The 27,794-nt window shown below is 40.1% G+C and overlaps 1 protein-coding gene across 3 annotated transcripts in view, besides 10 other annotated features; it reads right to left on the bottom strand.

Annotated features, from left to right (window-relative positions):
• Positions 1 to 27,794, bottom strand: part of AKAP13 (A-kinase anchoring protein 13) — a 368,756-nt gene that overhangs the window by 35,837 nt on the left and 305,125 nt on the right. For 2 of the 3 annotated variants that reach the window (NM_007200.5, NM_006738.6), the window contains exons 17-19: positions 20,071 to 20,245; positions 5,436 to 5,503; positions 2,877 to 2,943 (exon numbers count right to left, since the gene is read on the bottom strand). In NM_007200.5, the coding sequence (NP_009131.2) occupies positions 2,877 to 2,943; positions 5,436 to 5,503; positions 20,071 to 20,245 (310 nt within the window). The remainder of the gene's footprint in view (positions 1 to 2,876; positions 2,944 to 5,435; positions 5,504 to 20,070; positions 20,246 to 27,794) is intronic. The other variant, NM_001270546.1, reaches the window with a different exon arrangement.
• Positions 4,763 to 4,892: an enhancer, noted in NCBI's record as "active region_10024". NCBI's record gives its function as "activates an Ori minimal core promoter by ATAC-STARR-seq in GM12878 lymphoblastoid cells {active_cell/tissue: GM12878}" and the evidence as "EXISTENCE:reporter gene assay evidence [ECO:0000049][PMID:35858748]".
• Positions 5,865 to 6,174: an enhancer, noted in NCBI's record as "active region_10023". NCBI's record gives its function as "activates an Ori minimal core promoter by ATAC-STARR-seq in GM12878 lymphoblastoid cells {active_cell/tissue: GM12878}" and the evidence as "EXISTENCE:reporter gene assay evidence [ECO:0000049][PMID:35858748]".
• Positions 8,541 to 8,670: a silencer, noted in NCBI's record as "silent region_6785". NCBI's record gives its function as "represses an Ori minimal core promoter by ATAC-STARR-seq in GM12878 lymphoblastoid cells {active_cell/tissue: GM12878}" and the evidence as "EXISTENCE:reporter gene assay evidence [ECO:0000049][PMID:35858748]".
• Positions 15,436 to 15,605: an enhancer, noted in NCBI's record as "experimental_42385 CRE fragment used in MPRA reporter constructs". NCBI's record gives its function as "activates a minimal promoter by MPRAs in K562 erythroleukemia cells, with activity observed for both the introgressed and non-introgressed 15:86241233 or rs11636347 variant alleles {active_cell/tissue: K562}" and the evidence as "EXISTENCE:reporter gene assay evidence [ECO:0000049][PMID:34662402]".
• Position 15,520: a transcriptional cis regulatory region, noted in NCBI's record as "Neanderthal adaptively introgressed variant 15:86241233 (GRCh37/hg19 assembly coordinates) or rs11636347 in the experimental_42385 CRE". NCBI's record gives its function as "modulates activity of the experimental_42385 enhancer by MPRAs in K562 erythroleukemia cells {active_cell/tissue: K562}" and the evidence as "EXISTENCE:reporter gene assay evidence [ECO:0000049][PMID:34662402]".
• Positions 20,253 to 20,302: an enhancer, noted in NCBI's record as "active region_10022". NCBI's record gives its function as "activates an Ori minimal core promoter by ATAC-STARR-seq in GM12878 lymphoblastoid cells {active_cell/tissue: GM12878}" and the evidence as "EXISTENCE:reporter gene assay evidence [ECO:0000049][PMID:35858748]".
• Positions 20,743 to 20,792: an enhancer, noted in NCBI's record as "active region_10021". NCBI's record gives its function as "activates an Ori minimal core promoter by ATAC-STARR-seq in GM12878 lymphoblastoid cells {active_cell/tissue: GM12878}" and the evidence as "EXISTENCE:reporter gene assay evidence [ECO:0000049][PMID:35858748]".
• Positions 21,733 to 21,822: an enhancer, noted in NCBI's record as "active region_10020". NCBI's record gives its function as "activates an Ori minimal core promoter by ATAC-STARR-seq in GM12878 lymphoblastoid cells {active_cell/tissue: GM12878}" and the evidence as "EXISTENCE:reporter gene assay evidence [ECO:0000049][PMID:35858748]".
• Positions 21,973 to 22,022: an enhancer, noted in NCBI's record as "active region_10019". NCBI's record gives its function as "activates an Ori minimal core promoter by ATAC-STARR-seq in GM12878 lymphoblastoid cells {active_cell/tissue: GM12878}" and the evidence as "EXISTENCE:reporter gene assay evidence [ECO:0000049][PMID:35858748]".
• Positions 25,616 to 25,925: an enhancer, noted in NCBI's record as "active region_10018". NCBI's record gives its function as "activates an Ori minimal core promoter by ATAC-STARR-seq in GM12878 lymphoblastoid cells {active_cell/tissue: GM12878}" and the evidence as "EXISTENCE:reporter gene assay evidence [ECO:0000049][PMID:35858748]".

Genomic DNA, 27,794 nt, shown 5'->3' with positions numbered 1-27,794 from the left:
GAGTTAAAGGGCCTGGAGCATAACCTGAATGTTTCTGAAGGGAGGTCACTGAGCGGATAAAATCTGATGGAGGAAGAAAACACTAGTTCTTGAAGAATTGCAAGGATGTGGATGGGTCAGAAGAAAAAAGAGAGGACAATTCTGATGAGAAGAACCATGGAATGAAGGCAGAAGTAATTATGTAGTATTAATGTAAAAGGGAGACACAGAGTAGAAGATGAAGCAGGTAGAAGGAATCAGTGAAAGGGCTGGAAAAGCAGAATGATGTTAGGCAGAGCTCATAATAACTTGTATCTAAAAGCCAGCATAGGGGGGAAGAAAATAACAGCTTTCCTTATTTGTAACCAATCCATATTCTACCCAAGTAAGTGACTCAATATTGCTGTTTCCTTATTTGTGATGATCATAGCAGTGAAAGCTAACACTTAAGGAATGTTTACTGCTAAGTACTTTATAGGTATGATCTGATTTAAACCTGACTACCACCCTATGATACTATTATCGTCCCCTTTTACAGAGGAAGAAAATGAGGCACAGAGAGGTTTGGTAATGTCCAGTTACACAGCTCTTAAGCAGTGGTGTCAGACTTGAATCCATACAATTAGAATTCACAATCTGTACTCTACACCACTATGTTGCCTCAGTGGAGTACAACAGGAATAAGAATATTTGTGGGAGGGCCAGGTACAGTGGTTCACGCCTATAATCCCAGCACTTTGGGAGGCCAAGACAGACAGATGCCTTGAGGTCAAAAATTCGACACCAGCCTAGCCAACATGGTGAAACCCTATCTCTAGTAAAAATACAAAAATTAGCTGGGTGTGGTGGCTCACACCTGTAATCCCAGCTACTTGGGAGGCTGAGGCAGGAGAACTGCTTGAACCCAGAAGGCGGATGTTGCAGTGAGTGGAGATTGTGCCACTGCACTCCAGCCTGGGTGACAGAGTAAGACTCTTGTCTCAAGGAAAAAAAAAAAAATACTTGTGGGGATCAAAGGTAATACTCATGAACCTTGCACATAATAGGCATTTGTTTTTAAGAAAGACATGAAAATAAGAAAGAAAACAGACTTCTGAAACAACAGATAATGTCACAAGAAAAAAAGCATTTTAGGAAGCTAGACATAAAAAGTATGTGGAATGGGTAAGATCACAGACTAAAAGTGGGTATCAACCTGGAGAAGCTCCTCTTCTAGTCATCTACGTGTGAAGATGGATAAAAACCAGATTAAATATATCTAAAGGGAATCACTCTCTTCTGGGAGTGTAGACTAGTATAGCCATTCAGGAGCTATCTGGAAGTACTCAGAGAAACTGGGCATAAAGGAGCGGTTTTCAAGCTTGAGTGGGCATCAGAATCACCTGGAGGATCTATTAAAACACAGACCAGGCTGGGTGCGGTGGCTCATGCCTGTTATCTCAGCACTTTGGGAGGCCAAGGCATGAGGACTGCTTGAGGCCAGGAGTTTGAGACGAGCCTGGGCAACGTAGTGAGACCCCGTCTCTACAAAAAAATTAAAAAATCAGCCAGGCATAGCGGCGCACACCTGGAGTGCCAGCAACTCAGGAATCTGAGGTGAGGGGATTTCTTGAGCCCAGGAGTTTGAGGTTACAGTGAGCTATGATCACACCACTGCACTCCAGCCTGGGTGACAAAGCAAGACCCTGTCTCTATTAAACACACTCCCACACACCACAAAAAAACACAGAATGCTGGTCCCATCCCACGGTTTGTGATTCACAGATCAGGGTGGGGCCCAAGAATCTTTACTTCTAAAAAACTACATTTTCAAGAACACTGCCTGGGAAAAGTCTCACAGAGGCTCCCATGGAGCCAGCTAAGAAGATATTAATCATTGCATTATTTATGGTAGTAGCTGGAAGCAAAGTAAATATTCTGTCTCTAGGGGAACTTTAAATGTGAAATATGCTTATGAAAGAATACCATGCCATAGTCTGAAACAATAGCGTACAATAACATGCATATCTCAAAACAATATTGAGTGAAAAAAATAAGCAGAACATATAAGCATAAGTCATATTATCTAATTTAAATTCACACAAAATAATACATTTTTTTCAAAGTATACATATGTCTAAAAATATGGCAGATTAGAAGGACATACATTAAATATACTAAAGTAGGAATGAGACAGGGAATGGGGAGTGAAAAGGGAAAAGTATCAGTAAAACCAAAGTGGAGTCTTCTATGCACTGGTGAAAATGGTTTGATGTGAATGGAAGAGTGTGATTTACTCAATTCTGAATAACATTTGAGGTCCTTAGAAATAATAAAAAAAAAGAACTATTTTCTATAACTTCTCAGTTTAGAAAGAAGTTTAGGCCGGGCATGGTGGTGCGTGCCTGTAATCCCAGCTATTGGGGAGGCTGAGGCAGGAGAATCGCTTGAACCAGGGAGGTGGAGGTTGCAGTGAGCCGAGATTGTGCTATTGTACTCCAGCCTGGGCGACAGAGAGAGACTCCGTCTCAAAAAAATAATAAAAAAAAAAAAGTTTAACAAGCCAGATCTCATTTGATTTGTATGATTGTAAGGCACTAAAAACAAGTCTTTTAATTCTCAACTACTATTAAAGAGGAAGTTGAGATGCGCAGGGGTCACTTGCTTAAACACACAGGGCAAAGGTGCTGCCTTTAAGCTAATACACAGACTGTTTTAGAGACCTTCCAAGAGGGTTTGATGGTATAATGTTATATGGGTAAAGGAATCTGCAGGATAAAACAGCAGCCTTCTCTCACTTACCACAAAATAGGTATTCATATCTTGACTATGAATAATAACTGAATATTACAACAGCATTTTTACATTCAGAACCAGAAAGTCAGAAAGGGAATTGAGAGGTGGGCTGAGCTACTTACGCTTGTTTCTCATAATGACCGTGGGCAGTGATGATGTGTCATGTGCCTGAAGGCTCCCTTTGGGCTGCTAAAGAGAAAGAAAGTAAGTCCATTGACAATTCACCTCTGACAAGCCCTGAGAAGCCGAGTAGGAAGGGAGCAAGCAGTTCAGCTTCCTTTCCCACTCTGCTTTTTGCACTGCCCTAAGCACCCTGTGTCCCAGCCACGGTCGCCCCCAATTGCCATCCTCTAAGCCTGCCACGTACTCCAATGCCGTAGATGCTGTCTATCCTGCCTGGAATGCTTTTCTCACCTTCAGAAGCATGGCATTCTTCCCCTTTAAGACGATTTAAGGGTTGCCTCCTTGGTAAAGCCATCTATAGCTTCTCTCCTCTCCTCACCCAAGGCAGTGACTGGCACCTTTCTCATTTATAGTAACTGTCCGTCTTCCCCAGTAGATTGCTGGTGCCTTAAGGGCAGCATCTTTTGACTTTTGCATTTCATTTCCAGTAACTAGCATTTATAAGGTGCTAAATTATTGGGTAAAATACTAATTTTAGTTAATACTTTCGTTGTAGCCATGTAGCAAAAATACTTTGAGAGATTATACACTGAAGCGATTAATCTGAGATAAATCATTAGAAGAAATAGGTTACTTCCTATTTAAAATGAAATTCCAGGCAGGGTGCGGTGACTCACACCTGTAATCCCAGCACTTTGGGAGGCTGAGGTGGGTGGATCACCTCAGGTCAGGAGTTTGATACCAGCCCAGCCAACATGGCGAAACCCTGTCTCAACTAAAAATATAAAAATTAGCTGGGCATGGTGACGGGCACCTGTAATCTCAGCTACTTGGGAGGCTGAGGCAAGAGAATTGCTTGAACCTGGGACATGGAGGTTGCAGTGAGCCAAGACTGTGCCATTGCACTCCAGCCTGGGTGACACAGTGAGACTCTGTCTCTAAAATAAAATAAAATAAAATAAAATAAAATAAAATAAAATAAAATTCCCCCTTTTAGGTTATATTCTCTTATATGGGAGATGCTATGTCTCTATCATGATCATTCTGTATAAACTAGTACATTCACAACAATTGAGTCTTATCAGAGATCACAAACTCAAATGACTATGGTGCCGGCAGGCAACAAATGACAGAAGCAAGCTGGGGTGGGGTGGGGTGTGGGAAGGCAGTGGCAGCCTGGAACTGGCATATCCTGTCTAAAGGAGGCAGCACCACTCAGCTCCAGCCATCCCTCCCTCCCTGTGAGGTGCTCAGGCGCCACTGATGGAGCCAACTCCTGCCCTCAGCCTGCTTAATGAGTTTGGAGCTTATATTCTAGTGGGGGGAAGATACAGACTATAAAAAACTATATAATAATAAATAAAGATGGGTAAATACAGACTCTAAGAAGGTGATAAGTACTATGGAAAAAAGGAAAAACTGGGAGTGCTGGGTACAGGGAAATATCAGGGAGCCAAGGGTTATAAATCTTCCAGTTTTTTCAGGAGAACTTAAGAATCCAAACTGATATAAAACATGATTTTGAAAGAGCTGCACTAACTCACATTTTAAAAATACTACATGAGCCAAACAAAATATGTGTCCATAGGCTAAAGAAGATCTGGCTATCCTATTCTTTGCCATTTTGACACTAGTTTTAGTGCTTCTCAAAGTAAGGTCCTCGGACTATCAGCATCATCTGGGAACTTACTAGAAATGCAAATTCCTGGACTCTCCCCCAGAATCTGAGACTCTGGGAGTGGGGCTCAGTAAGTTGTCTTTCAATAAGCCCTCGAGTTGATTCTGATGCACATTCCAGGTTGAGGTCATGGCACTAGATAACTGTGTTTGGTGACTGACGAAGCACACAGCTCATTAATCATCTGTGTCGACGAAGTTGGAAAGCACTCCTTTGACAAGGAATGAAGAGACACTTACAGGCGACTAGAACATTGAAAACCTCACAGGCTACCTAAAAGGTATGGCCCTTAACCCACACTTTTTTTTAAGGGCCACTGGGAAAGCATGATTACATAGCATACATGCTCAGGGCAGATACCACCATAAAACAGGCACTTTCTATTCTTACGTCATGTGATCAGAGCCACCTATATTACATACCTGAGGAGAAAAGTGCTACCAGACAGGCTGGGGCTAACCATAACACCCTCCCCACCCCCACCAGCAGGTCAATGCCCCTGACCTCCACCTGCTGCCCTGATAGTCCTGAAGGAGGAAGACAGGTGTATGAACAGCAGGGTAGGCCTGCAGACGTAGTTAAGAAGAAAACCACTTTAAGAGCAATACGGAAATATTAAAATCACGAAGAAATGTATATTGAACGTGAAGAAGTTCTGAAAGCGTTTTCTTTTCTGAAAGTCTAATTCTCCAGTGTTACTCAAGAAGAAGATTGATCGCTTAAGAGAAAAAATATTTTTTAGTTATAATTTGTTCTCAAAGTTGGTACCAAATGATTAAAATAAACAAAATCCACCACAACCTCAACTCTCCCAACTCCCGAGGATTTTGCTGGTTTAAACCCTTTTATTTTAAGCCTTGTTTTAGCCAGAAAGTCTTACCTTCATTTTGACCTTTGCACAGGAGGCTAGACTTTCTCGGCAGCCTTTGTGGACAAAAGCACTGCAATCTGAAAAGAAAGCAAACCCAAGGTCACATGGACAAAGCAAACAGATCCCAGATTCTGAGTTTCCACTGCTGCCACAAGTGGCCTCTGAATTTCAAAGTGAAGTCACTCACATGTGAGAATGTGACTGAAATTACACACTGCAGTCCTCTTCTAGGAAGCAGGTCTGTGATGTTATTTGGAGGAGGAAAAACACGAGCAGATGTGATTTTTTTTTTTTCGGTGTTTGTGTCTTTATTTGGAGACCAGGAGACAGATTACAGCTTAATGAGAGGAACAACGACTCAAGTGATCTGATGGGAAGGGTGAGTTTCCTGGCCCTTAGGAAGCAACAGATGTGATTTCTAATCAACAAAAACTAGTAAGTCTGGAACTTTTCAGACAGGAAGCTGAGAGGCTACCAAAACTAAAAGTGAAAGTGTCTGCCATCAATGTGTAAGTCTAAATTACAAATAAATACATTAATAAAGCCCCTAACAGGGGTTACAAAATTTGTATGACTGTAATAAAGCACAGAATATAAAATCTGAAAAGCTTAACTACGCTGGGCTTTTTGCACCCCATTCTCTGAGACAGGAACCACACATGAAAGGTCACTGGAACCCCCACATGCACCTCTGGGAACTGTGACTTAAGAGAAAATGGAGACTTCTTGAAAGATAAAGCAGAAACCACAATTTGGCAAGGACAGCATTTTATCTCAATTCCTTTACTTTTCACTCCCTTGGCCTACAAGGGCCACTGACGTAAAAACCCAAGCCTCTGTGTCTCAGAAGGCTTACCATCAGCTCTCAGCGCTGCTATAAAGTCACATAACAGAACTGTTCCAGGAAGCCAGAGGTAAAGCAGAAACAAATGAAAGATCGGCCTGTGGGGACACTCGAGGAGACACTCTCATGGGAAGGGCTCACTCAGGAAATCAACCACAGATACCATTCACTAGGCAATGCCTCACAGACTGATTCAGGAAGCATCACAGGTCCTGTCTACATCAACTCACCAGTTAAGGGCCAACATCTCTTTTGGGCCAACATCTCTTTTAGCCCAGACACATGGATTTGTGGGGGACTGGAGTGATGATGGGGAGGGAAGGAAACCAGAAAGGAGACTGCTAGAATCCCAGACCTCAAAGGCCTATTCCATGCCTTTTGTAACACTTCCTTTAACACCCACTTGGTTCACAGGTCTCCTCCTTAATACCACTGGCACAGTGTATTGAGACTCTCTTAGGTTTTTCTCTATCCCCTCTCTGGGGCAGGGACCATTCACCCACTGCTGAATCTTCAAATTAAGACTCTCCAGCATAGTGCCTAGCTCATGCATCCTATTCAAATGCTCCTCTCTCGGCCCTACTATGCCTATTTAAACTAAAATTAGATGAATGCGCTGACACAGCCTTGATTACAGTATGTCAAACATCAATTTAGTAACACAAAAGGACAAACAGCTGTCAAACTAAATTTGACGTAGGTCCTGGCTCTGCATGTATGTATGTACTAGTATGACCCTAGTCCCTTCTTGACAGGCCTCCGTTTCCTCATCTATAAAATTAAAAAGGAGGAATCACATTTTCCCCCAGGTTCCCTCTGCTGTGATTCTATCAGATGGGTAAGTGAGTTTCAGGCTGCTGGACCCACAGCAAGAAGCATAACAAAGTGGTCGAGGCAAACGGCTTTATTTATTTTCTAGTAAGCCAAAACATGTTTCTGCCCATCCTCACGAGCACTATTCTTACTCAGGGTGTATGGTGCACCTCCCCTCCTCTGCCACAGAGATGCCCAGGACTTGCAGCTGGCATGCTCCTTTCTGGTTTCTTCCTCTCCCATTAGTTGATCCATCATATCCTTCCCATGCACAGACTTGAAAGCCCACCCCACTCAAACCCTTTCTCTTCACAAATCCCCACTCAGCTAAAGTCTTTCAAATACATCATCTTTAAGTCCATTTCTCTTTCCCTTCTACAGAAAAAGTATAAAAAGACTATGAAAAGGCAAAGTCAATGATTAGTAGATCTATGTTTTTCAGCGTGCTGAATCCTCAATATATAATGCTGAAGAGAATAAAGCAAATTACAAAAAGAGGTACTGTATGGTAGTATTTATGTAGGTTAAAAACAAAAACAAATTATATGTTGTTTATGTATGAAAATAAATTATAAAACACAGACTACGAATGCACTGAATTCATGACAGTCCTTGTCCTTGGGGAGGAAGGAAGATGCATGGGGCAGGGAAACAAAGGGGAATCTGAACTTAACCATAATGGTTTCTTAAAAAGTGAAACAATCTGAAGCCGTCTGACAGAATGTTACTATGTGTTCATTCTGAATCATGGACACATATGTGATAAATTACCTATGTATAATACTTTGTATTAACATTTTTCAAAATTAAAAAAAATTTTTAATTTTTAAAAAATCATCACACTCTAATGTCGTTCAAAGTTCCTTGGATTTGCTTATAAACATTTCCATATCCTTTTGCATAATCCATTTATCGCATCTTGTGATAACTTAAAGATAAGATTTTATTGTCTTATAATCCAGTTAAAAAAGTATATTTTTTTTCTTTTGTTTTATTGAAAATCTATAATATTTTAGGCACCTAAGGGCAACACAGGAGGTGGCAGATTTGCTGGAGAACCAGCTACTAATTCTGATCTGCAAAAGTGACCAAGAACACTATGGGCAGAATTTGTTTCCAAGTTCTGTTCTTTCTGTTCCTTTCTTCCCAACCAGTTCCAACACCCTACAGAGATTTAAGCAATGATGATTTTTAAGGGAGTGGCACTATCACGTAAAAAGGTTTCAGCAATATTCAAACTCTCAGGCCAGTGTTTGAGTGTCTGAGATGAACATAGAAGCAGAAAAAAATCATTTAAAATGTGCTTCTAGTAAAGAACTTTTCACATAAATTCACTTTTAATTAATTGAAACATGTCCCCAAACCCACAACCCAGCTGGAAGTTTAACACGCTCTATATTATGGTCATGAGTTTTCTCTTAGTGATAGTTTGCATGGACATCTCCTTAACATGCTGAAGTACCTACTTGAAAAACACTCAACTTGTTTCCAAGTTGTCCTGGACTCAATTCACAGTGACAGTTTTAGAGCTGTGCGTGGGTGATTTAGAAACTTCAGCCCCACTGACATCAGCCAAAGTCATGAGACTAAAATCTTACTCTCTGTTTGGGAAAACAGAAAATTACCAAGAACACAAGAATTGAAGACAAATCTAATACATTTTTAAGCTCTCTGCCACAAACCATACCATGTTGTTATGAAGATCAGAAAATAATTATCTGGCCTTTTATTTATTTATTTGATAGATTTCCTAATAGCAGTAGGCAATATGCTTTCATTTTTTAAAATTCTTCAAAAAGGTCTCAGCACAGTGGTTTATGGGAACAGAGCTGATCCCTAATCGGATTCCTCTGTACCTAAAACAAACAGTCCAGCCTTCAACTTCTTTCTTTGCTACAAGGAGGCATCAAACCAAAGAAAATGAAGTTAAACCCACATGACTGGAAACTATCATCTATCTATTGCTGTATCTTTTTTTTAACCCATGCCACCAACCACCACAGATCTTTGGCGAATGGTTATATACTATGTGTTTTTTATCTTTCGGAAGAAAAATAAAACAAACCATTAGCGAGGCTAACTTAAGAAAATCAACTTTATACAATGATAAGAGGAGTGGCCATGCCAAACTGAAATGAAATGACAGAATATCAAAGGACTGCCTACACAGAAACGAGCCACCTTTGGGAGCTGAGTCATATGCAGCCAAGGCTCTGACAAAAAAGGTCTTCCAGTACTTCAGTTCATTGATCATCACTTGGGAATAGGCTGAAGACTTCTGACTGTTCTGCCTACAGATGTGAGCAGCAAAATCTAACTGGGAAAAATGACCTGATTCTTCTCCAGGACACAAGTTGAGGAATTACCTTTAAGGATAGAAATGCACAACTTTCTCCTATCATTTCAACTCTAACCAAGAAAATGAAAATAAAACAAAAAACAGTTAAATATGAGCAAATTTAGAAATGCATGCTACAAAATTCTTTCTGCAACTTTAAACTTCTTGTTTAAAATCTTTAACAGAGACCCTGTCTCTCAAAAAAAAATTATTAAATATATGTGTGTGTATATATATATATATATATTTTTTTTTTTTGAGATGGAGTCTTGCTCTGTCACCCAAGCTGGAGTGCAGTGGTACGATCTTGGCTCACTGCAACCTCTGCCTCCTGGGTTCAGGTGATTCTGCTGTCTCAGCCTCCTGAGTAGCTGGGATTACCGGTCCATGCCACTACGCCTGACTAATTTTTTGTATTTTTAGTGGAGATGGTATTTCGCCATGTTGGCCAGGCTGGTCTCAAACTCCTAACCTCAGGTGATCCACCCGCCTCAGCCTTCCAAAGTGCTGGGATCACAGGCGTGAGCCACGGCACCTGGCCAATAAATAAAATCTTTGGGGGATTTGAGACATCGCCCTATCTGGACTAAGAGTGCTTATATGCAAAAGGCATGTGAGATGTTCTTGGTAGCTGGTGTAATAACCACAGTGCTGATGTACAGAACAAGAAGAAAGCCACAAAAAAGAGCCAAATCATCTCAGCTGAAGTAGCCCCAGCAGCAGTTTTCGTAACAACACTGGTAAACAAAAATGAAATAAAATGAAAGTATTCTGCTTAAAAAAGAATTGCCTTTATTGCTTAGGGTCTTTTTTTACCTTCCTTTTCCCTAAGTAATAAACTTCCTTCCTTTAATCAACTATATGTATTTTATTCTCTCATATAAGCAATGAACTATAAATGCCAGAAAACTGTCTAGAGGGCAACTTTTCTGATGAAATCAGAAGTAAAATCTAACCATCACACACATTCTAAATTCTTATGTTTCCTACTTAGATTGCAGCTGGTTTACTTGTTTATTTTTTATGTAAAAGAAACAACCTACCACAAAAGTACTGAAATGCTGCTAGCACAACAGAAAATAAATCAGCAATAATCTCAGTATCATTTTACATCTGTTTAAAGCAAGCAAAACAGAACCACTGGCAAGACCCCAAAACCTGAACATAACAAATTCCTTATTCTGAAAGACCCCACTAAGTCACTAAGCTTTTCAAAGAACAAATTATTTGTGGCAGCTGGAAAGAACAGCTGACTATTCAAGGACAGCTTTACATAATAGAGAAATAAGAGTTGAAAAGACATTCCTCTATTAACCCTGTTAAAGTCACCTAATCCTAAAGCAAGAGTAGCGTTTTGGCTGAGATAAAAAGTCCCAGTTTCTTGTATAAACCATCATAACATATCATCATGATGGACTATATGGCTGATCTTTCTAACCACAAGTCAAAGGTGACTATGCAGTGCTGAGGGTATGAAGCTCTATCCAGGGGTCAGCCAAACAGGGTTACACTTAACCACAATGGGAAGCCACTGTCTCCTAAGAGCACAAAGGTTTCCTAGGAGGTAAACGACTAACTGCATGGATGCTACATTTCCTACGACTCCTGGGAAGATCCTGGACATGAGACGCGATGGAGGGAAGTGACGAAAGATTCTGCGTCCCCAAATTACTCATATTTTCTACTTCCTGCCAAGATAACACATGGGACTTCCTACATACAAACATTCAGCTTCTTCAGGAAGCTGAAGATAATCAGCCCATTACTTTGGTTCCTTTGAGAAGATGACTACATACTATTTTGTTGCTTTCAATCCTTTTCACTCCTTTTGTGTGTGTGTGTGTGTGTGTGTGTGTGTGTGAGTCTTGCTCTGTCACCCAGGCTGAAGTGCAATGGCGCGATCTTTGGCTGACTGTAACCTCCGCCTCCCGGGTTCGAGCAGTTCTCCTGCCTCAGCCTCCCAAGTAGCTGGGGATTACAAGCGCCCACCATCATGCCCAGCTAATTTTTTGTATTTTTAGTAGAGACGGGGTTTCACCATGTTGGTCAGGCTGGTCTTGAACGCCTGATCTCGTGATCCACCTGCCTTGCCCTCCTAAAGTGCTGGGATTACAGGCGTGAGCCACCGTGCCTGGCCTACCCCCTTCTTTTTATAAGAGGCAGGCTGCAGACTGTCTTACATAAACCTTAATGCTATCACCAGATGTTGAGACTATTTCTACATTACTTCTGGAGTAGGGTGGTATGCAAATTAAAGAATGTATTTTTGAAACTTAGTGCATATTAGGGTAACAGTCAAGCCCAACTTAAACTATTCCTTTTTGCTGTCTGATACTTTTCAGTTTAAACCTCAAATATAGCCAGGCATGGTGGCTCACGCCTGTAATCCCAACACTTTGGGAGCCTGAGGAGGGTGGATCACCTGAGTCAGGAGTTCAAGACCAGCCTGGCCAATATGGTGAAACCCCAACTCTAATAAAAATACAAAAAAAAATTAGCCAGGTGTGGTGGCGTGTTCCTGTAGTCCCAGCTACTTGGGAGACTGAGGCAGAAGAATCGCTTGAACCTGGGAGGAGGAGGTTGCAGTGAGCCGAGATTGCGCCACTGTACTCCAGCCTAGGTGACAGAGTGAGACGCCGTCTCAAACAAACAAAAAACAAAAAAAACCCCTCAAATATGTTAACTCTTTTTCCTGGTTTTTGCTGAGCAGGTAGAACTAAGATAATCTCTGATATTTGATTAGATCAAGCCATTACCAAAAATCAAAGAACAACTAGCAAAGGTTATTATGACCCCTGTCCCCACCGACAGACTTCCCAAACAGAAAAGACTTTAGTCTAGTGATAACACACTGGACTTCATGAAATAACGTGCCTCCAGAAAAAGCAAATTCCTTGGGTGACTTCATATTAAAAAAAGTCCCATTCCACTTATAAACACTATTAGCACAGAACCAGTAGCCAATCCACTATTTCACTGGTTTTCCAAAATACTAGAAAAACTCTAAAAAGTCTTATATGAAATATTAATATACTGTGTTCAGATATGTAAAACAGTACAGATTTATTTTGAGTTGCAATTTTAATATTTACTTTCAAAGTTAATGAGAACAATGAAGCAGCTGTGATGAACTAAAAACGTGAGGTCAGAGGTGCATGACATTCGCAATTCACTTACCTACCACAACCTCTAATTTCTTTATTTAATTTTGAGTACATGACACAGAGAACATCTTAACGTTCTTCATGTAGATAAATAACCAATATTAGCAGTTTTTTTTTAATGGCTTGCCTTGCAATCACAGTATAATCTTCAATTAATTAGAGATGGAAGGAAAAATACAAATGAATAGGTAGGCTGATAGCTAAAGCTGATATGTTGATGTTAAAATTTGGGAATTATACCTTTAAGAAGGTACGTTTTTATGTAGTTTTAAATATACACAAATTCAGAAATCTGTGGAGCTTCCAAACACCTGACATCCTGAAAGCTACCGCCCTATCCATTAAACTAATTACTACACAGAAGTGTGGCTGAGAATCTCAGACCCTCAAACCTTTCCTACAGTTTTCCCCAGTCAATACCAAACCCTACACAAGTGATTCTCCACGGGTACCTCTGGCATCGTTGGGCAATGGAAGTCTCCAAGAGGTAACCCAGATCTTGCTCTCCAGAGGCGGTTCTAGCACATACGACACTGATAGCATAAGGAGTCTAATAACTTGTGGTGTCCTAGCTATGTGTGCTTCATCATCCAGGGAGTCCAGTAAAAGAGAATTTCTATCATGTTTAACAGGAAGACATATCAAGAAAGCAAAAATGGGCTTAGGATGCCTGTGCATTCTCCTACATTAACTGAATATTTCTGCTATCTGATAAATTTATTATATGCCAGTTACAGGTTTAATTCTGAGTGATAGTCTAATGTAGACAAAGACTTAATATAGCCAAAGAGGGCAAATTTCAACTATTTGTAACCTAGAAATAATGTATATACACAAGTCAATGGCAATACAAGGCTAAATATACACTGGCATATATTAGACAACTTCTTTTAGCCTGAACTTAAAATTGCAAAATTATCTGGAGCTAGTCATGGAAAGGTACAGCCACTCATTATAACCATAAGCCAACGGTTCTTAAATCTATTGTCCTCTATAGCACAAGATTCTTTGGGTCTTCAAAAAGACTGTCTATAACTTTCAACCTTAAATCTCCTGATAATGTTTCACATCACAATCCAGAACTGAGAGTTGGTAGATCAACTATACTACTTCTGATTCAAGCTGGTGCTATCAATAACAGTGGTAGAACAACTCTCCTCAAGGCTTATAAGCTTACTCTGTTCTGGTAGTAATTCTGCTTTGTCCATTAAATTCTCAAATCAAATACCAACTTATTTTGTGCCTTCATCAGAGATCAGCTGATAAATAACTAGAAAAACCTTTGAAACTATCAGTGGTCCAATATTTACATTTTGTTTTTAGACATACAAATAATATGTAAGTACATTCTCTAAAAATTCAAACAATCTAAAAGAATAAAATAAAGAGTCCTCTTCAACTCCTTTTCTCCTTATTTCTCTTTCTTCAGATTGTTAACAGTTTGGTGTATAGCCTTTCAGATATTTTTGTAAAAAGAATTTTTTTTTTTTTTGAGATAGAGTTTCACTCTTGTTGCGCACGCTAAAGTGCGGTGGTGTGATCTTGGCTCACTGCAACCTCTGCCTCCTGGGTTCAAGTGATTCTCCTGCCTCAGCCTCCTGAGTAGCTGGGATTACAGGCATGCACCACCACGCCCAGCTAATTTTTTGTTTTTTAGTAGAGATGGGGTTTCACCATGTTGCCCAGCCTGGTCTTGAACTCCTGACCTCAGGTGTTCTGCCCGTCTCAGCCTCCCAAAGTGCAGGGATTACAGCTGTGAGCCACCATCCCTGGCATATTTTTGTAAATTTATATAAACTGTTTGTTTTCCATAAACTAGGATCATGCTGTATATATTGTTCTATTTACTGACTTTCCAACTCATCAAAATGTCTTGGAGAGCTCTGTCTGCACCTGCAAATCTCTCCCAGGGCTTGGCACACTATGGTCCTTGGGCTGAATTAGGCCCACAGCCTGTATTTGTAAATTTTTTTTTTTTTTTTTTTTTTTTTTTGAGACAAGGTCTCGCTCTGTTTCCCAGGCTGGAGTGCAGGGGCTCGATCTCGGCTCACTGCAACCTCTGCCTCCTGGGTTCGAGTGATTCTCCTGCCTCAGCCTCCCAAGTAGCTGGGATTACAGGCGTGCACCACCATGCCCAGCTGATTTCTGTATTTTTAGTAGAGACGGGGTTTCACCATGTTGGCCAGGCTGGTCTCAAACTCCTGACCTCAAGTGATCTACCTGCCTAGGCCTCCCAAAGTGCTGGGATTACAGGCATGAGCCACCGTGCCAGGCCTGTAAATAAATTTTTATTGGAACACAGTCACATCCATCGTCTATGGTTGCTTTTGTGCTACAAGGACAGAGTCCAGTAGTCATGACAAAGACCTGATGGGCTGCAAAGCCTAACATACCATTGGTTCCTTTGCAGAAAAAGTTTGGCAACCTCTGATCTGTCCTATATTCTCTCTCTCCTTTTTTTTTTTTTTTTTGGAGACAGAGTCTTGCTCTGTCACCCAGACTGGAGTGTAGTGGCTCAATCTCGGCTCACTGCAACCTCTGTCTCCCAAGTTCAAGCAATTCTCCTGCCTCAGCCTCCCAAGTAGCTGGGATTACAGGCACTGCCACCATGCCCGACTAACTTTTGTATTTTAGTAGAGATGGGGTTTCACCGCATTGGCCAGCTGGTTTCCAACTCCTGACCTCAAGTGATCCGCCAGCCTCAGCCTCCTAAAGTGCTGGGATTACAGGCATGAGGCACCGTGCCTGGCCCTTATATTCTCTCTTTATTATCAGCCTATCCATCTATATACTATACAAAATATACTATATTTTATGGATGGATATTTAAATTGCTTTCAATTTTTCCAGAATATAAACAAGTTCACAATAAATAAGTACGAAGGATCATTTTAGAATTCCTTTTTTTAAGCCACTGTGGGTGCCTGACTCATATTGATATTCAATAAATATTTGTTGACAAACTGCTTTTGTATGAATCACATATCAAACACAGTAGCTTGCAGAATTCAGTCAAATGAACTTTGTTGATTGACTTCATATAAGATCAAGGACTTAAGGGTACAATTATTTATGATTAAATGTAAAAAACAAATCCAGTGTGAAGTCATTAAGACTTTCTAGACTGAAGCTCTCCCCTTACTAATGCAGACAACAGAGTAGAAGCCATCTTATTCCTTTATAAACAATTATAAATCAGGACAATATGCTGAAATATTTGAAAAAATCCATGAATACCTTTCAATGACTATTTCCATGCTTTAAATTTTACTCAGTTGTTTTTAAATCTACCCATTAGTTGTTACGTCTTTTTCTTCCATTATAGATTCTATTCGTTTCATCCTTTTAGTAATTTTCTTTCTTTTTTTGAGATGGAGTCTCGCTATGTCACCCAGACTGGAGTGCAGTGGCGCGACCTCAGCTCACTGCAACCTCCGCCTCCCGGGTTCAAGAGATTCTCCTGCCTCAGCCTACTGAATAGCTGGGATTACAGGCGCACGCCACCAAGCCTGGCTAATTTTTGTATTTTTAGTAGAGACGGGGTTTCACCATGTTGGTCAGGCTGGTCTTGAACTCCTGACCTTGTGATCCACCCACCTCAGCCTCCCAAAGTGCTGGGATTACAGGCGTGAGCCACTGCGCCCGGCCCCTTTTAGTGATTTTCAACATCTCTTGCTTGTACATCCCCTAATTCTTCCTCATGGTGGTTTACTTCCTTATGTGGCATCTATGTATCTTTTATCATGAGCTCGGCTTCATAGGATTTTATTCCTCCTGCCGTAGCCTTGGGTATACTGATTTGTCAACCTAACCCAATGGAGCAGTTCTACATCTGCTACAGGCTGGGTCCCTCAAGGATCTGTCATTCCTAAACTGGAATTTCATGTAACCTCTTGTGAAAGTTTCTTAGCCTGAAGTTCTAGCACATACAGACGGTGTAAACTTGGACTCCAGATTCATCAATTCTCACTCAGGGACCTGGGGAGACTGTAAGGTTCCTTTCTGCTTCTGAAGGCCACTGGGTAGAATTTTCCAAGGCCCTTCATCATGGATGTTAGTCTTAAAACAGCATTTCTTATACAGGGGTCTCAGTCCCAGCTCCCACTACATACCCTGAGGCCGCATATCTTGACCCCAAATGAGGGGGCATGCTCTTTACTGCTCTGAGTTCCCTCAGGAATTTTCTATTTGGCAGGTTCAGCTATGTATTAATTTTTTAAAAAATAGATTTTATTTAGCATTTTATATTTTATAGCAGAAGGCAGGTATCTAGTCTGCTTTACTGATGAAGTTCCCTGAATATTAATTTCATACTGCCAATCAAGAAATACAGCCTCTTCCCGTTTTTCTGAGATCAGTGCTCTCCAAAAGAAGAACTGGCACACTGCAAGGAGGGATGTAAAAAACAATCCCTTGGAACACAGGAGGAAGATTTTACAGCTCTTATTTAAAATGACTCCTTAACGTAGAAGAAAAATTGAGTTAATGTCTAATTGATAAGTGGGTGCCTCGCTCAGTCTTTATGTTAGGCAGCCTCACTTTATATGTGACACTAGAGGTTTCTTAAGGGAGCGGGGTATTCTTCACTCAGGAGATGGGCTGGGCATGCATAATCCACATTTGTTTACTTTCAGCATGTTGTGATGAATGGAAACATACAGGTATCCAATAAAGTGGGCTTATGGATTATATTACCTGGTTTCCACTAAAATCAAATGAAAATGATGAGAGTTACACAAATTCCTTCAAAGAAGTCATGAATCAAAGACAATACTAATCATACTAATAACTAACCAGAAAACAAGAAAATGGCAATTCTGAGACTTATTTTTAGAATGAGCTCTTGGAAAGTATGGCACAGTAGGACTTGTATGTAATTTTTATGTTATGTATGTATCCTATGTGAGTATGCTAAAAATGTTTTAATAATAGGTGAACATGCTATAAAATGCTTGGTGATTACTGCTCTAGGCAACCAGGTTATTCCAGTACTAAGAAGCTAACTGTGTCCAATGGCTAAAAAACTAAACTATAGACCTCCGACTGGTGTCCCAGAAGAGTCCTATTAGAACCTGGGTTCCAAAATAAACACTGGAGGAATACTGAACAGTGACAGTCTCTTGTTTCCTAGAGGTTACATGAAATTATTATTATGTGGTAGTGGCTCTCAATGGTCTGGTAAGTCACAAATGAAGGATGACATTAATGTGTGTGATCTCTGCCCACAGGGATGCATGAGGATTCGGGTGAGAGCTCTCATGGTTTTTGGTTACTTTTGAAAAAATAGGACAGTAAAACAAATAGTGTTGCTGACTACTTTGGGGGTGTAACATCCAATAAAAATCATTTTACATGAATGTGTGTCATAAAGTCAGTCATATCAAAAAGTCACAGGAACTGTAGCACAGATTAGACAGGCTGTGTGCTAGCTGTAACTCCACTCCTCCTCTTCCAAGCAAGAAAGTGAGTGAAAATCATCACAGAAGTAACTTCCAATCTGTCCAAATACACGTTTTTTTGTGTGTGTTTTTTTGAGATGGAGTCTCACTCTGTTGCCCAGGCTGGAGTGCAATGGCACGATCTCAGCTCACTGCAACCTCCCCTTCCCAAGTTCAAGCAATTCTCCTGCCTCAGCCTCCCGAGTAGTTGAGGTTACAGGCACGTGTCACAAAGCCCAGCTAACTTTGTATTTTTAGTAGAGACGGGGTTTCGCCATGTTGGCCAGGCTGGTTTCGAATTTCTGACTTCAGGTGATCCGCTCACCTCGGCCTCCCAAAGTGCTATGATTATAGTCGTGAGCCACCACGCCTGGCCCAAATACACTTTTAAACATTTCAAATTTCTACCAGGCACAGTGGTGCATGCCTAATACCAGCTACTCAGGAGGCTGGCTGAGCCAGAAGATCACTTGATGTCAGGAGGTCAAGACTTAGCCTGGGCAACTAGTGAGACCCTGTCTCAAAAAAAAAAAGAAAAAAAATCAGATTTCAGTAAGTTAACTATTTTTAGTAAGAAATTACTTGGGATATCCAACATAAATGACTGAAAACAAGATTTCAGGACATCATGGTCTGAGAGTTGCTCCTTGACATCTGAATTCGTCACTATAACATCTGAATTGGTTATAGATATAGTATCATGTTAATTACCTCAGCCTTCCGGGTGACTGGACTGGCCCTGGACTGGCTGGAACTCCAGACTGTCACCTCTGACCAGAAGCAGCCTCCTTGATTTACCCTGGTATGCTCTACAAATACTACTTTTGATCTGTGCACTGACAAAATTTTGAGATGCACTGCCTTACAGCAAAAACGTGCAAATTATGGTCTGTGGGCTAAATGTGGCTTGAAGCCTATTTTTGTATAGCCCATGAGCTAAGAATAATTTTTACATTTTAAATAGTTTTTAAAAATCAAAAAACTATTACATAACAAAAATTTTATGAAATTCAAATTTCAGTATCCATAAGTGAAGTTTTATTGGAATCACACTCATTGGTTTATGTATTGCTTACGGCTGCTTTTGCACTGCAACTGCAGAGTTCAAGAATTGTGACAGAGACCATGTGGGTCACGATGCCTAAGATACTTTTTATCTGGTCTTGTACAGAAAAAGTTAAGCAACTCCTGCCTGAGAGTGTCTTATCAAAACCAGGAACAATGCTCAGTTAGCAGACTTGGCTTTCAGCAGGTCAGCACAGAATGTCCCTGAGCACGGAGGTGCTCTCCCTTGGCCGTCACTATGGCTTAATGTTGGTAATGGCTGAAGCATATACCAAAGTAATAGAATAAAAATGAGCACATATGATCTAACAGAAGACCACTGAGTAGCTTTAGGGTTTGGGGTTATGGATAATTTTGATGCTGACACAGACTTTTAAAACGTGCAGTGGTTTAGAGATCATAGAACAGAGTGCAGATGCTCCTCATCCTTTCAATGAGGCTACATCCACATAAACCCATGGTAAATTGAAAATACTATTAAGTCAAAAATGCATTTAAATACACCTAACCTTCTGGACATCATAGTTTAGCCTGGCCTATCTTAAACATGCTCAAAACACTTACATTAGACTATAGTTGGCCAAAATTATCTAGCACAAAGCCAGTTTTATGATAAAGTGTTGACTATCTCATGTAATTTATTGAATACTGCACTAAATGTGAAAAACGAAATGAGTGTACCAGCACTCAAAGTACAGTTTCTACTGAACGTGTATTGCTTTTGAACCACTGTAAAGTTAAAAAGCTAGGCTGAACCATCTTAACTTGACTGTATTTGAAATTGGGGCTGTCTGAAAAAAATATAGGCTGTATGTTATACATCTAGAATTTCTTTCTTTTATCATGTCTAAAGAAAGATATAAAAAGGGTTACTTCTCCACATAAATGAGGAACAGATAATGAGTGGGGACAGGAAACAAGAAATGAGCTTTCTTGAGCCAAGAGAGTTCCATCTTACGAGAGGAAGAAGCATGTCTCTTACTTGCACAAGTATAGGCATCTTTGTTGGTGAAGGGCTTCATACACTGGCTACAGCTGATGGGACCCACAACAGGAATGGAACTGAAAGTGTGCCCGTTGACAGTCTTCTTATCTTTCTCCTTGTCTTTAGAATCTTTCTCCTTCTCCTTAATCTTATCTTTTTCTTTTTCCTTTTCCTGCCGAAGAAAAGAAAATAATCCACAGTTAATTGAACACTGGAGGGCTTTCTCCTTACCTGGGCACCCAGATGGCATGTGGTTAACAACAGCTGGTGACTATTTTGGAAAGGAGTGAGAAACAAAGTTCTGGGCAAAGTGTTTTGTTTTGTTTTTTTAAATTAAGGCGTTGGCACGCAAGCTACATTAGAAAATTCACACGAAAACTGGGCAGGCGGAACAGTTCTGGCAGTGGCTTATTCATTGGTTACTTCTACCAACAGACACAATACCCAAGGACCAGCACTGCAAGGAGGCTTCTGACACCTCAGTACAGCCCTTCCTCAGCAAGCTACAGCACAGTCCACACAGGAAGAGAGTCATGGGTTTAGGGCCAGCTTTAGGCAGAGGGCAGAAAAAAGGGTGGCAGCAATTCTGGGATCAGCCTGAGGGAAAAAAAGATGCCTGGGTGGCATGAAAAATTACCGAGGCTCCTCTCTTTCTCACATCAATTGCATATCCCTAAGTGACGGAGTATGTATAAAGTCTCCTCCTTTACTCTAGTTAGAAATATTAAATATGCCCCACATATACATTTTCAGTTTCTGCTAATTAGAATTTTAAGGTTTGTAAATATTAACTTTGCCCTAATTTTCAAACCGGCAAGAGGAGACTGATAAGAAGGGGAGGCTGGAAAACCGTACAGTGGTTAAGAATACGGACGATGGTACCAGACCTCGGTTCAGATTCAGGTACTACTACCACTACTACCACTACTGCCACCACCACCACCACCACCATCACCACCACCACCACTACTACTACTCAGTAATAGCGTGACCCTAGGTAAATTATTTCTCTGAGCCTTAGTTTTCTCATTTGTCAAATGGGAGTAATCACAAAAGTACCCATCTCATATGTTTTTTAAAACATATGACAATTAGGTGAGATAATACATTTCTAAAGCATTTTGCACAGTGCCTGGCACACAGTGAATACACAATAATGCTTAGCAATATTATTAATTACTCATAATTTACTGGAAATGAGTTTCATTAGCTCATTATTCTCCTAAGCCAACACAGAAAGGTATTGCTTGCAGTAAGGGAAAGGAAGTTTTGATGTGAGCAGGGAAGATAGAAGAAATTGGGGAGTGGCTAAAGGACAACGGTGCAGGGCAGGGAGGATAGGAGAATGCACGGATGACAGGAAGGAGCCTTGTTAATAATTTTTCTCAAAAACCACCTTTGTTGTTCCTCAAGCTAGATACCAACAGGGTCACTTCCTTTAAAAAAATGGGGTTCCAGGGAAAGGAAGTCCCAAGGCTTAGTAGCTCACTCCTCTACCCTGAGTACCTAGGGGTGCAGGAAGGCAGGAAAAGCAGGCAGTGTCCCTAGGTTGGAAAGATAAGCTTCCTACGCCGTGCTCTCTGACCTCTTTTGTGAAGCTCCTTTCTTTCCTGTGGTCTTCCCTCACTTGTCAGAGTGGCAACAGAAACTGATACTCATCTTGTGCTTCCTGTGTGCCCAGCCACTGCCCAGGTGCTTCTACTTACTGAGCAGGCCAAAACCGGGCTAGGTACAAAGCACAGGGGACACCAGCAAATGAGACATGAGACTGGGTGAACAGTGGGGGCACTGGGCTGAGAGTCAGGAGCTCTAAGTGCCAGATTAAGTTGGCCATGTCACCTTAAGAATACTGCAGGAATGTCAGAAATGTTCTAGAGACAGACTGAAAGCAGAGGACTCATATGACATCAAGCCTCAATCTAAGAGAGGCTGTTGTCAAAGCTTACACAGTCATGAAGAGGAACGGAAAGGAATTCAAACACTGAAAACTTGAAGAACTACTGATGAGTGGTGGGTCCTTAATGAAATATCTAAAGCAGTCAGGGACATTTCAGGTGGACACCATCCTTAGGAGGCCAGGACCATGGGGATATAACCATGCTCTCCATAAAAGGTCCTTTAGAAGCACTGTTTGGCAGAGTACTTGGCTGGCTTATCAGTATCAATGAAATAATTTCCTTTCAAACCAACTGGACTACAAAGACCTACCATTCACAAGGTAAGAGGTTTTACCTATTGTCAATACCATTGTTATGTCCTAAAAAAATTCCAGGAAAATGGGTGTCCCAAGTCAGTGATCATGACAACTACTAAATGCCTTAACATTTTGAATCAATGTCTTCTACATACATCATTTCGTCTGACTCAATAACTCTGAAGTGGGCAGGGTGAGCATTATGCTTCCCATTTTACAACGTAGAGGATAAAGATAATAAATAACAGCTAAAAATCTGAACAGTTACTACGTGCTAAGCACTGTAGTAAGCAATTTACATGTATTTTCTCACAACAACCCAATGATAATACTAGGTATTATCTCCATTTTACATCTGAAGAGATTGAAGCTTAGAGATGTTTAATAATGCATTTGAGGCCACACGCCAATAACTGCTCAAGCTGAAATTAAGATTCAGATCTGGCTGACTGTAAAGCTCAGCTCTCATACACTGCACTATGCTGCCAGGGACTGGAGAGGTTGGTTGACTTGCAAAAGGTCACACAACAGATGATCAGCACAGTCAAAATGGGAACCCAGGTCTTCTGACTTTCTGTTCAGAACCCAACCACTGTAATGAAATGGTAAATAATTGCTAGATCTATGATTCATGTGAAGTCTTTTGTTAATCAAATACATATAATGAACATCTAAGAGCCAAATTACTACACTTTTGAACTATAAAAAATAATGAGAGAGGAAGGGAGAAAAACTCCTTCACTTTACAAAACAGGAAGCTGTTCTGAGTGAAAATTGGTAATCACTAAAGTACATAAAACTTTAGTAATAATCAACAACTAAATTTGGGTTTTTTCAAATAATTTCTTTCTTTTAACTAAATTTTGCTAAAGGTTTTTCCATGCATAAAATGTTAAATGGAAAAGCATCTGATTTTTTTGCTCAGGAAAGTTAAATTATACTTCAATCGTTTAAAAAATCTTTTTATGGCAACCAGCTTATCCTCTCAAGCCTTGCAATGCTCTTCAAACCTGAATAAATAAGAAATAGCTTCCCTTTGCAACAATCCAAATTAGTTCTTCCCAGGATGGAAACAAAACAAAACAACCAACTCCACTGGCTCTTTCTGTGTTTACTAGAATTTAGTGCTTTAAAGAAGTCAGGCTCTTACCTCCCCATGCTTTGGTCCTATGAATCTCACTGTTATGTGGGGTACTTCATGAAACCGAGCCCATTTTATCGACATGATTCGACCCCCATGCCAGGAAGCGTGCTCTCACAGAAGCGGGGGCGCATGCCGTCAGGGCAGAGCTCAGCAGCTTTGAGCTGCCATTAGTGAAATCGTAAGAGGAAGCCAGAGACTGGCTGAGAAAGGGAAGGAGGGAGGGCTGAGGCTGCTTGTTTCCTTAAGACAGTCTTAACTGTTTGAATGCTGCTGCTAAAGCCAACAACCCTTGTTACAAAGGATACAGGAAATGAAACGAGACCTCACTCCCCCCAAAAACAGTGTGTGTGGACAGTGCTTAAGCAGCAATATAAGAACTCTAGCAAGGTTTGAGGCCAAGTTTTTACACGGGAAGTTAAGGAACACATCTTACCTATTTTAAAATAGACTCCTCATTTTGTAAAATGCAGTGAGTTTCATAAGAAAACTTTTCAGTGAAGTTGCCTGGTGTAAAGTGGTGACTAGTTATTTTCTGAAGTTTGACTTTTCCATGTTTAACAACTGGCAAAATGCTTTAGCTGTGTGCTGGAGAAACAGGCTAACGGTATTTAACAGGGATAGATGCAGGTAACAACTGCACTAGGACACTATCAAAGGTGATTCTTCACTTTTCCAAAAATACCCCTTTATACATGTAATTACAATAAAAAGAACACTCTGGACAACTGTGAAAACATGATATGATCAAACAACTGTCATGTTACAGATCTTTAATCAAAGAAGGAATGAGAATTACATTTAAAATTAAGTCTTTGTAAACACTACTCTAGGAGGCACTTCTGAAAGGCCTATGGGTACAGCTCTTTTTTATACAGACCACAGGACCTAGGAGCTGTAACTGAATGTCCTGTTACAAAGTCATGTAGTATACTTGCAGCTGTGCAGGAATTTAACCTGTGCACTCAAAAATACCTACTTCAAATCAAATAGATTTGTCTAAAACATTTCTAACCACCTCTTGTTTGTCTACAAAGAGGAAAGCTTAGTATTAGGTTGGTGCAAAAGTAACTGTGGTTTAGAAAAAAGAAAACCAGTGTGATAGGATGGTTTGAAGAGGGTCATTCCACACTCCCTTTGTGAACTCGAACACCATGCATATGAGTGTTTAAATACTCTGTAACACGCAAAATTACTTAGCAGGAAACAGCACTATCTCTCAAAGATACTAAGACAAAAGCAGAAACTGCCAGTCTTCCTGCTATACTTCCTGTTTAGCATCCCCTCTCATCTTCCACAAACACATTCAATATATTTATCTAATCTAATCACTTATGCCAGTCGGTGATAATTCTCAAAAGGACATAGGATCAAGGACTCAATTTCTTAAGTTTATATACAAAACCCAGTGATCCAGACAAAATATGTTACCCTCCTAGGAATGTGAACAGTTTACTGCCTACTGGCTTTTGGCTTCTTTGGACATGTTTAAGAACTGTTTATCATCACAATTATACAACTGAATGGAATATATCTAGGTTAATCACTATAACCTATTTTCATAAAGATATATATATCATGCAAAAGGAAAGCAGACATTTTCAAATAATCCTTAGACACTTCTCTAAGAGTTACAGGTGGCATTTTAATATTATATTCGGTAGATGCTTAAATTTTTCCTTTAAAAGATGTAGGTCTAGTTTTATTGTATGGTAGATTAATAAAACAATTGGATCAGACGGTCTCTCACAGCATCTATTTAAAAAATAATTTTTAAAAACTGAAAATTTATCATTTTCACAGAAAAATCAGTGTCAATATCCATAGTAGCACTTTCAATTTGTTAACATTATGGAGAAGTAACATTATTCAATAGTTAAGAACAAGATTAGAGTTAGCATCACTATGTTAAGAAAATTTAATATTCATTAATTTTTATGTTACCATTTAGAAAATACAGTACTTCTGCATGGTAAAATGCTATGCAGATACATAGCAGAGTGAGGGTATTTAACACAAAATATACTGCTTTACTATTTCCCCTATTTCTTTCCTCTCTCTCTCTTTTTTTTTTTTTTTTTTAAGAGACAGGGTCTTGCTCCATTGCCCAGGCTGGAGTGCACACAGCGTACTGCAGCCTTGAACTCCTCGGCTCAAGTGATCCTCTTGCCTCAGCCTCCTGAGTAGCTAGGACTACAGGTGTGTGCCACTACGCCCAGCTAATTTTACAATTTTTTTGTAGAGATGAGGTCTCACTATACTGCCCAGGCTGACCTTGAACTCCTGGTCTCAAGTGATCTTCTCATCTCAGCCTCAAAGTACTGAGATTACAGGTGTGTACCACTGTGCCCCACCCCCACCTTTTAAAAAATCATCTTTTGCTACATTGACAAAAGCCAAGCTGTTCCAATTTTATTTAAAAGTGAGCTAGTAACACCTCACTATAAAAGGTGACTTACAGTTGCCACTAGGGCACTCTAAACACTTGGTAATGGGAAATGGACTACAATTCAGGGTTACAAATTTGTAATTTTTTGAGTTTCCACTGCTAAAGACAGCACGACCCCAAGAGATCAAATCTTGAAGCCAAGTCTGAAAGAGGAACCAATCTCAATTGCAAAAAAGTGTTGTCATTTTGACAAAGGAGATGATCAGAGACAAGAGGTCAACTGATACTAAAAGTTTCTACCAGTGATCACAGATTTCGGTCTAACACAAAATATGTTTTCTCCTGTCCTTTCTGCTCATCTCCTCCTAGCAAACTCCAGTCCTTTCAGATTAAAAAAGTTAAAAGAAAAAAATTACGCTGTATAGTAACATTTTGTTTAAACACAAAATGATGAGTACTACTTCCTGGAAGTCAGATAACAGGAGGTTGTGTGAGGTTGTGTGAGGTTGTGTGACATGAAGCATACATCTCTGTGCCTCAGTTTGTAAAATAAGGAGGCTAGGCTGAGGGCTGAGACTTTTTTAAAGGTCAGGGTCCAGTTTCTAAATTCCATCTTACGTTGTTTTTTTTCCTATCATGTGTATGTTTTACCTTATCCATGAGATGAGTGGTACATTCACTGCTCTGTCCTAAAACTCCATGACATTGGGGAGATGGCTAGAAAGGGGGAATCTCCACTTATTTATTGGTCTTCCACGAAAAGCTTGTTTGAAGACAAGATTCAGTAGTTTTAAAGCAAAATAAAAAACAATGAAAACATTTTGAATTCATCCAAACTAGATCATAAAGTTTTTCAAGGTCAGGACTATGAGCTTTAGTTCTCTTAGGTGCCTGTTAACACCTAGTGGAATGCTAAGACTATACAAAGCATTTAATAATACTTGGCTAATTTATATTGCTCTGTCCAAGGGGATTTTCTTTTGTTGATACCAACTAGTATCCAAGCCGGCAGTGGTAAGTAAAAAAGGTAAGGCTCTATTTTAAGCCTGGCTGCCAATATGTAAATACGTAGAATACTGGTAAAGCAGTATTCTTTGACCTTCATTTTTTTTTTTTTTGGAATTATAAAACAAGGCTGAGTCTGAAGTTAAATGTGTGATTATGCTAGAAATAATTTGCTAGACTCTTTGCATCTCTCCCTGATTGCCTACTTTCTCTCCATTCTGTACTTGCACAGGAGAAATGAAAACACAATTCTTGTGGCACGTTTGGTGGAAAAATTTCTTTGAATGTATTTGCTAAACCAAGAGATCTTACAAAACATGGTAAAATACTTTGGCTATATTTCCATCAGCCCACTGAAGTGAGGGCTTGAGAAGCTTAGTGCACCTTGTTTTGTGAGGGAGGAGGCAATGCCCTTTTATGACAATATTCTTGAATTCAATGTTTGTTTATTCCCTTACTTCTAAATATGCATGTATCTACGTGTGTATATATCTGTATGTACATGTATATACCACACACACACACACATGCATGCACGTGCACACACACACATACACACACACACACACACACAGTGATTCCTTGCAAGAGTTCCTTAACTGATTTCAAATTTTTATTTACTTATGTCTTTATTTTGTTAGAGGGTGTTGTGGGTAGATGAACAGGGTGTGAGAGGCGAAAAGTTTTTCCCCACGGACTTGAAATGGAATCAGTTTTGGTTTAGCACTGGGAATCAGTATAAGAAAGTGAACTTCTTTTCTCCCTTTCTTTTGAAAATACATTTTTAAAAAAGATTAGAAATATATAAACCAAAACATTAAGTGTAGTTATCTCTAAGCGGGGTTATTCCAGGAGATTTTCATTCTTTTACTTTTAGATTTTGAAGATTTCCATAATGAGCATGTGAAAAATAATTAGATAAAAAATGTTACTTTAGGCTGGGCACGGTGGATCACACCCAGGGCTTCGGAAGCCTGCAGCGAGAAGAGTGT

This window comes from Homo sapiens, chromosome 15 (assembly GCF_000001405.40).
Source record: "Homo sapiens chromosome 15, GRCh38.p14 Primary Assembly".
Classification (NCBI taxonomy): domain Eukaryota; kingdom Metazoa; phylum Chordata; class Mammalia; order Primates; family Hominidae; genus Homo; species Homo sapiens.
This window is presented reverse-complemented; position numbering and strand designations above follow the sequence as displayed.